The 14,046-nt window shown below is 39.7% G+C and overlaps 1 protein-coding gene across 49 annotated transcripts in view, besides 1 other annotated feature; it reads right to left on the bottom strand.

Moving 5' to 3' along the window:
* Positions 1–14,046, bottom strand: part of AOPEP (aminopeptidase O (putative)) — a 423,526-nt gene that overhangs the window by 392,957 nt on the left and 16,523 nt on the right. The window lies entirely within an intron of this gene.
* Positions 12,906–13,407: an enhancer, noted in NCBI's record as "H3K4me1 hESC enhancer chr9:97506143-97506644 (GRCh37/hg19 assembly coordinates)". NCBI's record gives its function as "activates a minimal SCP1, AML or CMV promoter by ChIP-STARR-seq in primed H9 embryonic stem cells {active_cell/tissue: H9 hESC(primed)}" and the evidence as "EXISTENCE:reporter gene assay evidence [ECO:0000049][PMID:30033119]".

Here is a 14,046-nt window from a genome sequence, read left to right as displayed (position 1 = left end):
ATTCTCAGTTGATGATCTGGCCCCCTGCTTTGCTGAGATAATTCTGAATCTCTGCAACTCAACCATACCTCAAAGTATCATTAGTTCTTCATAAGTATTACCTTCTCTTGATTCAGAGGGAACAATATCCCTTTTCACCAAAGCTTATTAAGCTTATTCTGCCCCACTGAATCCCAACTTCTGGGGTTTTGAGAGAGCCAAGTAAACAGCACATTCCTCTCCTATCCAGATTCTGAATGTAGCAAGAAATAAGATGAAGATATGGCAAAGGCAGACCAAAATATCGCTACTGATGAAGGCTAAGCTGGAGAACATGGCTTACTGTGAGAGCCAAAGGTACCTGGAAACTGAATCACAAAATTAGGTTTATCCACATGGTCACAGGCAATGCTGGATCAAGTTAAAGCTTCCAGAACGGGGGGTAGCCTCCCTCAGGTAAGACTTAAGGCCTGGAGGAAGAGAGAAAAATGGTTCTCTGTGGTCAGGAGTGCTGCCCAAAAGCAAAAGGGAGGAGATGAGCAGAGCACATCCAGTTTCTTCTTCCCAAATTTATCAGACTATGTCACCCCACCTCCCTTAGGATAAAGGCACCAGGAGTGTTACACTGACTGAACTCCAACAAGGAAGGAAACATGAGAAGTGGGGAAGAAGTGTTCTCTCAACACCATCCCCTTCCACTTACTTGAACCCTGTTTCATTTGACATTTTTCTCTTGCCAACATTTTCTCCCCTTCAATGATTACACCCTATTCTGAACATTCAAACATCCCTAGGGTTGCGGGCTCAAGCGATCCTCCTTCCTCAGCCTCCCAAGTAGCTGGGACCATAGGTGCATGCCACCACACTCATCTAACTTTTTAAATTTTTGTAGAGACGAGGTCTTGCCATGTTGCCCAGGCTGGTCTTGAACTCTTCAGCTCAGGCGATCTGCCCACCTCAGCCTCCCAAAGTGCTGGGATTACAGGTGTGAGCCATCACACCTAAGCCAACCTTAGGGTTGCCATCTTTTTTTTTTTTTTTGAGACAGAGTCTTGCTCTGTCACCCAGTGGCACAATCTCAGCTCACTGTAAGCTCCGCCTCCCTGGTTCACGCCATTCTCCTGCCTCAGCCTCCCAAGTAGCTGGGACTACAGGTGCCCGCCACCACACCCGGCTAATTTTTTTGTATTTTTGGTAGAGACAGGGTTTCACCATGTTAGCCAGGATGGTCTTGATCTCCTGACCTCGTGATCTGCCTGCCTCGGCCTCCCAAAGTGCTGGGATCACAGGCGTGAGCCACCCTGCCTGGCCTAGGGTTGCCATCTTTAAAAACAATCAACAACTTCATTTGGCCTACTTTAAGTCATCTTTATTTTATTGAACTTTGGAGCTGAAAAATTCCTTAGGGCTCACTGAATCCAACTCTCTAATTTTACAAATGAAGACAGTGGGTCCCAGAGAGGCAAAGTAATTTGCTCAAGGTCACCCATTTCTTTTTGTTTGCCACTAACAGAACATTTCCCACTTGCTGATGCTTTTCCTTGGAATTCTCATCTCCCAGGTCTCATGGCCATCTCCTTCATATTGTCTAAGTCATAAATCAAATGTCACCTCTAAGTCTCTTTTCCACATCTTCCTTTGACCTTCTTTATCTTCTTCAAGTTATGCAGACTAGTAACCAATTCTTATTGTAATAGCTTTGGGGGGCAAAGGAGAACTTTTAAGCCAGCCCCAGAAGATTCTGAAGAGCACTGTCACTTCTGCATGATTTCCAACCTAAATTATATATAAGTCTATTAAGTTGTTGCTTATTTGTCTATGTCTTACTTGTCTTAGATTCATGGATGACCTAAATCATCTTTCTCTCTGCAAGTACGTAACGCTCACTGACATCAATCAGGGTCACAGCCCCACATTTAGGGAAAAACTGAACTGCCTGTGGTTGCAAATGCATGTATGTGGCCACCTTGCAAGGCCTCTCTCAGCAAATGGAAACCATATTTCTAAGCAGTCCGTTGACTTCAGCACTTTTGGCTATTACTGTGCTCCAATTCAAAATGCCAGCCTGTCTCACTGAAGCATTTTTCCATTCTCTGTCATAAGCCATAACATACAAAGGTCCCCCCTTATAAAAACCAGTGGTTAGTTTTCCAGTGGCTAACCATTGCTGTGTCTAAAATAAGTGTGCTAAAAAAAAAAGAAAAAATAAGTGTGCTATGTGGTATGTATTTTAAATGCTTAAATGATTGTCTCAGCAGCACCATTAAAGGCTTTGAAAGGATTAGCGTACAGTAATATTTTTCTTAAGGGGGAAGAGGATCACATACTAAACAGAGCTATGGCACAAAGAAGAAACTGCTCTGCCATTCTCAGCCATCCAAAGTGGAATGCACCCATTTACAAATGTGGGATATAACCTCTGTAACGCCATCCCCAATCACCCCAACGAAAACAATTTCATTCTCCTTTCAAGCTACAAAGCAACGTGTATCCTCACGATTCTAACTTATCCTGGCTCATTTTATAGTTACTTCCATCCTCCAATGCTCTAAAAATTCCCTGTAACTCCTGAATCATTTTTGTGTTCATGACCAGGTTAAGTGGAGTATCCTCAACACAGCAGGTTCTCAATAAATATTTGTGGAATTGCCATCCAAAGGTATTTGTGATTTCAATGTCTAGTTACTTATACAACAGGGATTCTAGCTTGCCTGTACTCTATAGTCTAGTGCTAAGTTATTGCTTAACTAACATCTCCCTCCAGACATCTCATTTTTTCTTCTCAGGATACACCTGTGCCTCTTTTTATGCCTCATCTTTTTACTTGTAAGCAACTGGGGGAAAGGAGAAATTATTTTTGCACATATGCTCATTCTATAGCATAGAGCACACTGTTGAGTAGTTACTATTTAATTCCACCGATTACTTGATCAGAGAATGACAGCTTTCTGCTATTCCAGGTGTGTCCATTATTTAGGATATGCCAATTGCTCTTAATAACAGTCAGTGTATTTGCTGAAATACACTGTTTCTGGGCACAATTCTTCACACACTCAAATGCATATAGTCACAGGAACATAGCTTACTACTGTGAAATTCAATAATTTCAGAATTAGAAGGAAACTTAGAAGTTCAAATATACTGTTTTGTGTTTATAAATGTCACACTGACATATTACTCTGCAACTTCTTTCACTCAATGGTTTTGAAATATAGACATGTTGATGTATATAAATCTGTCTCTTTTAACTGCTGTTTAATGCCCCCACAGGAATATTCTATAATGTATCCATACGTTCCCCTACTGATAGTTATTTGAAAATTTTCTTGATTGCAAACAATGCTGAAATGAGCCTCCTTACGCACATCTCCTAGCTGCACACATGCAAGTAAAAAGATGTGGCATAAAAAGAGGCACAGGTGTATCCTGAGAAGAAAACACGAGATGTCTAGAAATTCCGTTTTGCCTGATGTTAATACTGTCATACCTACTTTCTTTTGGTTTGCTTTTTCCCGGCACATCTTTTCAATCCCTTCATTTTTAACTGCTCTGGACTCTTTTTGCCTTGGCTGTCTTTTTAAAACAACATTTGGCTGGCTATTTAAAAAATATAATTATCATTTTTAATGACTGAAATGAATTTCTTTACATTTATCACAATTACAGTTGTAACAGCACCATCTCAATCAACATATTTTATGTTTTCTATCGCCCATGATTTTCTTTGCTTCTTAGCTTTATTTTTCTGCTTTTTATTGAATTTTTCTACATTCCTGTTTTCCCCTCCACTGTTTCATAACTTACACAATCAATGCCTTTAATATGCCTAAAGTCAATCTCGAATAACCTTCCAAACAATATAAGGACCTTAGAAAGTTTTATAACCAGTCTTCCTCTTCCTTACTCCATAACAGCTTCCATATTATTGTTGCTATTATTTTAGTATCACATTGTTTGTTAAAACTCCATCCAACTTTTTTAAAGTCAATATTTATTTGTATTTACAAATATATTCACCAGCTTCCTTACTCCTGATAATTTATACATTCCACTCCTTCCTTCTGGGTCCAATTTTATTCTACTTGTTGCATGACAAATTAACTTTGTAGCTTCAAACAGCAACCATTTTATTATATTCTATAGGTCATGAATGTGGGTAACAGTCAGCTGGGCCACTCTTCTACATCTTATGAATCTGTCTATGTTACTCAATGGTACTCAGTTGGAGGATGGACTTGTCTGGAGGGTCTGATGCCCAGAAAGGCCGCTTATTTAAACTTACTTAAATAAGTTTATTTAAATAAAGCTTATTTAACACTGAGCTTTTGGAATGGCTGTACATCTTCTATGGTAGCTGGCAGCCCCCAGCACGAGCATCTCAAAGTACCAGTTGAAAACTGCATGGCCTTTTCTGACCGAGCCTCAAAGTCAACATGGTTATTATTGCTACCATAGTCTATTGCTTTCAGGTGCAAACTCATAAGGCCAATCCAGATTCAAGGAGAGGGGATTAGACTCCATCTTTTGATGGGGGAGTAGCAAGGTATACTGTAGAAAAGCATGGAAGATGGTAGATATTGTTATGGCCATTTTTGGAAAATACAATCTGCCACAATTTCCTTTTTACTTAAGTTTATCTTTAGTAATTATTTTAGGAGGAGTCCATGGGTAACAAACTCTTTTAACAGTTGTATGTTTGAAAATGTCTGTATTACATCCTCTCTACTGAATGACCACTTAACTAAGTGTAGAACTTTTGTTGATAGTTATTTTTAATTAACACTTTGAATACAAGATTCCACTGTAACCTGGCATATCTTTTTGCTGATAAGAAAGAATTTTGTTATTAGCATGCATTTACTGATACGTATGTGTTCTTTCTCCCTGGTACATGCATGTGGGGTGTGTGTGTGTGTGTGTGTGTGTGTGAGAGAGAGAGAGACTTGTGTGTCTGTATGTGTGTTGTTGTTTCTAAATACCTGAAGTGGAAGGGAGATTTCCTTACACTTCAGTTGATCACATTGGCCAGAAGCCCACAGACTATGATATACCACTTAATGGTCCAGACCCACAATTCCTTTTGGTGAAGAAGTTTTCATGAGGCTGGGTGCAGTAGCTCATGCTCGTAATTCCAGCACTTTGGAAGGCCAAGGCGGGAGGATCACTTGAGCCCAGGAGTTCAAGACAAGCCCGGGTAACATAGGAAGACCTCTCTCCACAAATAACAGTTAGCCAGACATGGTGGTGTACACGCCTATAGTCCAGTTACTAAGGAGACTGAGGTGGGAGGATTGCTTGAGCCTGAGAGGCCAAGACTACAGTGAGTCGTGATTGTGTCACTGTACTCCAGCCTGAGCAACACAGCGAGACCCTTTCTCAAAAAAAAAAAAAAAAAAAAAAGTTTTCATGGGTACTCTGTTCACAGTCTGAATGATGGGATCAATAGAAGCCCAAACCTCAGCATCATGCAATATACCCTTGCAACAAACCTGCACATGGACCCCCTGGATCTAAAATTAAAATTTCAGTTAAAAAAAAAAAAAAGAAATTTTCATGTAGGGTATTCTTCATTGTATAACATTAGAGGCACCAGAGCTATAGATTACCTTTTATTATCACAGAAGCCCAGAGAGATGATTAAAGATTGAGAGGTTAACAATATGTGCAAAGAAAAGAAGCCCAGATACATAGAAAGCTGGATTATATCACTCAATCAACAAATACGTGGAATCCTCTTCCATTCTGTCTTTGTCTAGTAACTCTCTGGACCCCATCATGTCCTCAAGGAAAACATTCCTGACCTCACCAATTAAGTCAAATTCCCCTATTATTAGATTTCATAGATGTGTGCTTCTTAGTAGCACAACAAACACAGTTTTAGTTTTACATTTAGTTTTACATGTGTCTGCTTGATTATTTAATTAATATAATTCTGCCCTCTCCTTAAATGAAAGGGAGTACCACTTCTGGTAATAGTGGAGTACCTTCTGGCAGACTAATCCTCCCACTGATAGTACTTATAAACTCTAGACAAAAAGACAAAATTTCTGAAGGCCCATGAGAGTGAGCAAAAAGCTGACAAGAACTGTAAGGCGCCAACACGTGGAAGAAGGGAATGGCATTGAGCTTCCTGCGTTATAGTTTTCCACCGGAGAGAAAGCCCTAGTTGGTGCCAGGCAAGGCAGTTAACCCATTTATGCCAGAGGTTGCAATTTTTCTTTTTTGTGAAAAATCAGACCTTTGGCCAGGTGCGGTGGCTCACACCTGTAATCCCAGCACTTTGAGAGGCCAAGGTGGGCGGATCACGAGGTCAGGAGATCAAGACCATCCTGGCTAACACGGTGAAACCTCATCTCTACTAAAAATACAAAAAATTAGCCGGGCGTGGTGGCAGGCGCCTGTAGTCCCAGCTACTCAGGAGGCTGAGGCAGGAGAATGGCGTGAACCCAGGAGGCAGAGCTTGCAGTGAGCCGAGATTGAGCCACTGCCTGGCGACAGAGTGAGACTCCGTCTCACAAAAAAAAAAAAAAAAGAAAGAAAAGAAAAGAAAAGAAAAATCATCAGACCTTGGAGATGAGCTCGAGCAGCAGGATATAAATAACTGCCATAAGTTTAGCATTCCAGTAATGGAACGCTAAGCATAAATGGGTTAAAACTCAGATTGAAACCTGAACTTTTTTTTGTTTTGTTTTGTTTTGTTTTTTTGAGACGGAGTCTCGCTCTGTCGCCAGGCTGGAGTGCAGTGGCCCAATCTCGGCTCACTGCAACCTCTGCCTCTCAGGTTCAAGTGATTCTCCTGCCTCAGCCTCCCGAGTAGCTGGGACTACAGGTGCCCGCCACCACGCCCGGCTAATTTTTTGTATTTTTAGTAGAGACAGGGTTTCACCATGTTGGCCAGGATGGTCTCAATCTCCTGACCTCGTGATCCACCCACCTCAGCCTCCTAAAGTGCTGGGATTACAGGCGTGAGCCACTGCACCTGGCCGAAACCTGGAGTCTTACTGGCTGAAGAATGAGAGACTAGAGTTCAAGACCAACACAGTAGCTGGAGAGAAAAGAAGGAAAACTTTAGGAAAGGTGATGTCTACAAAGCAAGAGTCCCATATTCTGTATATAAACTCTGCCCAATTCCCTAATTGTCCCCTGAACCATGCAAGTATGGAGGAGATCAAACAGCCTCCTTCAGGCAAAATGAACTCAACTAAACTGAGATTTTGATTGCTCTCCACAGCAGCAAAGGCAAAGTTAGAAGTCTGAGTTCAGCCAAGTTAACTGTCTGTTAATACAAAGCATCAATATTCTTCAGAAGAACATAACAGAATCCAGAGTTTCTACAAAGTATCAAATACAATGTCTAAAATAAAACATAATACTAGACATAAAAGAAATAAGAAAACATGACCCAAACTCAAAGAAAAAGCAATTAGTAGAGACCAACTTGAATGGACCCAAATATTAGAATTAACAGATAAAGATTTTAAAGCAGCTATTCATATTATAATTAGGCATAAATGCTGTAATACATGAACTAAAAGGAAAACTCAGCAAAGAAATAGGAATTACTTTTTTGAAAAGGAAAAGAAAATTCTAGAACTGAAAAATACTATATTTGAGATAAAAACTTCACTGGATGGTTTTAACAGAAGATTCATGATTATAGAAGACAGTGAACCAGAAAATAGTTACATAGAAATTATCCAGTGTAAAGAACAGAAAAACGTGAAAAAGAATGAACAGGTACTTTTGGGACAAATAATTGGAGTCCAAGATGGACAGGCAAAAGAGAATGTGGTCACAAAAAAAATACTTTAAAAAACAGTAAGCAGTGAGCACAACTGGCACCTAGATCTTGGTTTCTAAATACCATTTTCCAACAAAAGGAAACAGCCCTCCTTGGAGACATGGCTGATTCTCAGGCTGGGCAGGGAAAATACAAGATGGATCTGAAGCATCACATGGACCTCTAAAGTAAAGAAGAAAACAGACAGACAAACAGAAGAATTGGGACACAGGAACCAACCTGAAAGAGCTTTCAATGCCCAAAGCTGGAACACTTTGAGTAAGAAAATAAATAATGATAGTATTGGATTAAACCCAAAGAATATTCTGATATAAACAAATAATTGAATAAGTAATCATTTGTTTAAATTGAATAAATAAATTTGTTTAAATTGGTTGAACAAATAATCATGAAGGGAGAGACTACATCTTCCTTATGTAAGAATTCCAAAAAATCGATGTAGATATTACCTCTTCAAAGATGTAGAACTTAATTCCTTTCCCCTTGAATATAGGCCAAACTTAATTATTTGCTTCCAAGCAATACAGAATGGAAAAGAAAAAATATTATGTTTACAGTAGAGATATCAGGCAGTTTAATCAAGTTTAATATCACCAGTGATAAGTCATATTGTTATCATTATCCTCTAGGATGATGCAATGAGAAGGGTACCTTACCTCTGTAGTATTCCTGAAACTTCAGTGTAAGCATGAGGAAACATCAGACAAACCCATACTGAGGGACATTCTAAAATATACCTAACCAGTACTCTTCAAAAGTGTGAAGGCTATAAAAAACAAGTAAAATCTGACAAAGTGTTACAGAATGGAGGTGTCCAGGGGATATGATAAAATGCAATGTGGTATCCTAGACTGGATCCTAAAACAAACAAACAAACAAAAAGGACATTAGTGGAAAAACTGTAGATAAAAGCATTATGCCAGGGCTACATTTTTAGTTTAATAAATATACCATGATTATAAGAACATGAAGAGAAGCTGGATGATGAATTGGGAACTCCCTATACTATGTTTGCAACTTTTTGGTAAATCTAAAAGTATTTCAAAAGAAATCATTTATTTAAAAATAGTTAAAATTTTCCAAATTTGGTGAGAGATATAAAGCTTCAAAAGTTTATTTACACAGGAAAAATACAAAGGAAAACATACCTAGGCACATCATTATCAAACTACTGAAAAACTAAAAATAATCTTGAAAGTAGCCATTACAAAATGACATATTACACACAGAGGAACAACGACACAGATGACAGGGGGCTTTTTATCAGAATGATCTGAATTCTCAGAGAAACAATGAAGGCCACAGAAAACAGTGAAATGATACCTTTCAGGTGCAGAAAGAATGGGCAGGGGACATATTTGCTTCAAATATATTAGTCCTGAAATCTTACTTATATTATTAATTTATTAGAAAGTCTTTATTTTTGTACTTAGCAAAATGGCAGCCCATTCTTGGTTAATTTATCCAAAGTTTTGAATGACTAGAGGCTGAACTAATTTTTACTTTATTCAAGATTGGAATTTCCTATTTTTTTATTTATTATTCTATTTCAAAATAAATATATTCTAAAACACTAACCATCCCTCCAAAATATCTACTGGCTTCCTCCTTCAGGAGAAATTCTCAAGAATATTGGTTTGGACAAACTGACATAGCATGGAACCAGTTTTTTCCTCAAATGTTGGGGCAGGTGTTAAACTTTCCAGCCCTTCAGCACTCTTCTTTCAGCTCACTTTCATATCTCCCCGACTTGCTAAAAATTGTTCCTGGTACCCTTAAACAGTTAATAAACTTTGAAAGCTGATGTCATTTTAAACAGCAGAAACTGGCCAATCTAATGACCACCATTATCTCTGGTAAAATTTTAATCTTTGAGTTTAGGATATGCTTTTAGTCATTTTATTTGGTTTCTTGCATTTCAACCTTAAGCTTTTCCCCTTTGTTCATGCCTATTTATTTTTCTTTTACTCGAAGTAAAAATATAGTGTTAAAACAACATTGAGCTATATGTTCTAACTGTACAAGTACCAGCATATTCAGAGTTTAAATTCTCTCTGGAACCGTAACTCTAACTAGCATAAATATATGCTACAATAGGGTCTTTCACTACAAAACTCATACCCGTGGGGCAATGTCATTTATCACTGAGTAAATAATGCAAGATAACATAATGAAAAGGGGATTTTGCTTTATTCCCTTAACTATAAATAAAAATATGTAGCACTTTGCAGGATTACCACATGTGGTATGATATTAACTTAAAGACCAATCTTTAAGCCAAACTGTAAATAAGATAAACTGTGCTCTCTGGTCTCAAGTTTTAAACAGTCTCTCTTTGCTCTAAATTTACTGCTTTCAGGAAGCACGTAAGAGTGACTGCATATAATTTGTGATCATGTAATGAAAGACTCTATTGTGATATGTATATTCAAAAAAAAAAAAAAAACCCACTGGAGTTAATGCTGTTGTGGGAATTATAAAAAGTGCCTGTGTTGAAGATCAATGCAGTAAGGCCAAGTCAGTCTCAGTCAAAGACCTTTTCCTGAACAAAAAAAGCAAATCACTGTCAGTTGTGGCTTGATTTATATATTATAACCAGTCAAGTGGGGGGGAGGGGGTCTAAAATGTGAACATTGAAAACAAAAACTGATTTTATTCCATCAGTATATGTCTACCCTGAACTATGCTGAAACATGATGTGATGTGATGAACTCTGGCTTCCCTGATGGCAGCTTGTGTTGACTCTGGCTTTGTTGATCACATCTTCGCACCCAGATGCCATTCCTCTTTGGTGCCTAATGTGTTTATGCTCACATTATCAGCAGGCATTTGGGTTGCAAAGATAAGATTGGAAGTGATTTCACTCTACTTTAAAAGGTGAAAGAATGTATCCCTTTGATTGCTACTTGCTTGCAAAGTATAGCATGTTTCAGTTTTCTGAAGCGTACCACTTAAACTAAATTATAGCAGAGTGGTCAGAAAAGGATTCCTGGGAAAACTCATTACAGTTATAAAGAAATGGAGATTTCACTTTTCTACTCCATTTTTTAAGAGGTTATACCTGCCTAGGGGACTGACAATCAAGGTACTGGAAAGATTACAGATAATGAAATGATGCTCAGAGAGCCTAAGTGTCTGAGATTTCCAAGATGTCAACCCAAGCAGTTGAACTCCAGAGTGTTCTTAACCGAGATATCCATGGCCTCTATTGCACAGCAATCCAAGTAACCATGACATGATACCTTATATCAATGTCACATGGAAAACCAAACAGAGGTCCACTACCTACCATAGCAAAGGCTAGAGGAAACCCACTGGCTGGATTCAGGGTGGTGAAGGGAGAGTAATTAGGTCAGGGAAGGGAGAGGCGGGCACAACAATAGACACACTACATCTCTGCCCAGCTCTTGTCTCATTCTAACACTCGAAAGAGTTCAATGAAAGAGGCAATAACGAACGCAAGCAACGATGTGAAGAAAGGGGAACCCCTGTCGTACATTGTTGGTGGGAATGTAAATTAGCACAACCACTATGAAGTACAGTATGGAGGTTCCTCAAAAAATCACAAATAGAAATACCGTATGTTCCATCAATCCCACTGCTAGGTATATACTCAAAAGAAAGGAAATTAGTATATCAAAGACATACCTGCACTCCCATACTTACTGCAGCACTATTCACAATAGCCAAGATTTGGCATCAACCTAAGTGTCCATTAACAGACTAACAGATAAAGAAAATGTGGTACATATACACAGTAGAGTACTACTCAGCAGTTAAAAAGAATAAGATCCTGTCATTTGCAACAATATGGATGGAAACGGAGAACATTATGTTAAGTGAAAAAAGACAGGCACAGAAAGACAGACTTCCATGTTCTCACTCATCTGTGGGAGCTAAAAATTAAAACAATTGCCGGGCACGGTGGCTCACGCCTGTAATCCCAGCACTTTGGGAGGCTGAGGCAGGCAGATCACGAGGTCAGGAGATCGAGACCAACCTGGCTAACACGGTGAAACCCCGTCTCTACTAAAAATACAAAAAATTAGCCGGGCATGGTGGCAGGCGCCTGTAGTCCCAGCTGCTCCAGAGGCTGAGGCAGGAGAATGGCGTGGACCCAGGAGGCGGAGCTTGCAGTGAGCCGAGATCACCCATTGCACTCCAGCCTAGGCGACAGAGCCAGACTCTGTCTCAAAAAAAAAAAAAAAATTAAAACAATTGAACTCATGCAGATAGAGTACACTGGTAGTTTCCAGAGGCTAGGTAGGAGGGAGAACGGGGATGGTTAATGGGTACAAAGATACAGTTACAGACAATGTTGAGATACAGTATTTGATAGCACAACAGGGTGACTACAGTCAGCAATAATTTGTTTTGCATTTTAGAATAACTGAGAGTATGATTGGAATATTCGTAACACAAGGAAATAATCAATGCTTGAGGTGATGGATACCCCATTTCCCTGATGTGATTACTACATATCGTATACCTGTATCACAATATCTCATGTACCCTTATAGGTACATATATACCTAATATGTATCCAGAAAAATTAAAAATAAAAAAAGAGCTCAATGAAAATGAGAAGTCAACAGATTATTTCAACAGGTGGAAGTTTTGAAGCATTTTTCAAATTTTACAATGTTTAGAGCACTTAAAGCACTGTATCTGTATTTTTCATAACTTTGCTGAGTGTTTTCCAAAATTAGATATAATTTAAACTAAATAATTTTATCGTAAATCCAATTTGTACCATATTTTATTCTTTTTTTTTTTTTTTTTTTTTGAGACAGAGTCTCACTCTTGTTGCCCAGGCTGGAGTGCAATGGCACAATCTTGTCTCACTGCAACCTCCGTCTCCTGGGTTGAAGTGATTCTCCTGCCTCAGCCTCCCAAGCAGCTAGGATTACAGGCATGCACTACCATGCCCAGCTAATTTTTGTATTTTTACTAGAGACGGGGTTTCTCCATGTTGGTCAGGCTGGTCTCGAACTCCCAACCTCAGGTGATCCGCCCACCTTGGCCTCTCAAAGTGCTAGGATTACAGGCATGAGCCACCGCAACCAGCCCACCATATTTTGTTGTTGTTGTTGTTGAGACAGAGTCTCACTCTGTCACCCAGGCTGGAGTGCAGTGGCACGATCTCGGCTCACTGCCAAGCTCCGCCTCCCGGGTTCAGGCCATTCTCCTGCCTCAGGCTCCCGAGTAGCTGGGACTACAGGCGCCTGCCACCACACCCAGCTAATTTTTTGTATTTTTAGTAGAGATGGAGTTTCATTGTGTGAGCCAGGATGGTCTCAATCTCCTGACCTCGTGATCCGCCCGCCTCAGCCTCCCAAAGTCTGGATTACAGGCATAAGCCACCGCGCACAGCCCCATATCTTATTCTTAATCATGATTAAGGATTAAGTAACCCCACTCCATTCCTCCCTCCCCACCATTGCCTTGTTATTCAGTAACCTTCATTTTTACCGAGTGTGGACTAGAGGAAGAAGCTGAGTAGCCCACGCTGGACCCCATGGTCACAATGTCAAAGCACTTCATTAATGCTCTCACTGGGACTCCCAAGTCCCTGCTCGCTTAACTCTGACCACATCTACCGCAGCATCAAGACTAACTCCCAGGTATGCCAGCTTGCATTTTTCCCTGTTTGAGTCAACTGAGATTTGCAGATTCCCATCCACGTTTCCCCTCCTAATGACCTTATCTGCTGTGTGGGTAGTTACCTGGGTTCAATCCAACCCCTGTCCTCACCCCCGGGTCCACTCCCATGGCCTCTGTCCTCCACTCCATTCCCAGCCATGGAACACTGCCATCTCCCTCCTCCCTCATTGATTTTCCCATCTTCCAGGTGGTAGAAGCCTTTTGAGTTGCTCATGATTTCCTATTGGAAAAAACAATAACAAAATGTGCTTTCCCTTGCTGGGCTCAATAGCTAACACTCTAGTTGTTGCTTTTGTTTATCTATCAAACTTTTCTGACCAGAAGGTTATAACCTTTTCTATTTTGTGACTGCATATTTCTTAAACTGTTGAAATCTGGCATCTGATCACACCACTTCACTACAAGTTTACTTTCAAACATTCACAATGACTTACTTCTTGCCAAGTCTAGTTTAACCTCAGGCCTTATTTTCCTTGACTCTCTGTGGCATCTCATACCACTAACTTTCCACCACCTCCGATGATTCCTGGGACACAGTATCATCCACATCTCTTCTTCTTCTTCTTCTTCCTCTTCTTCCTCTTCTTCTTCCTCTTCTTCTT

This window comes from Homo sapiens, chromosome 9, assembly GCF_000001405.40.
Source record: "Homo sapiens chromosome 9, GRCh38.p14 Primary Assembly".
NCBI classification, from domain to species: Eukaryota; Metazoa; Chordata; class Mammalia; order Primates; family Hominidae; genus Homo; species Homo sapiens.
The sequence above is the reverse complement of the archived record's forward strand: the minus strand, read 5'-3'. Positions and strand labels throughout refer to the sequence as shown.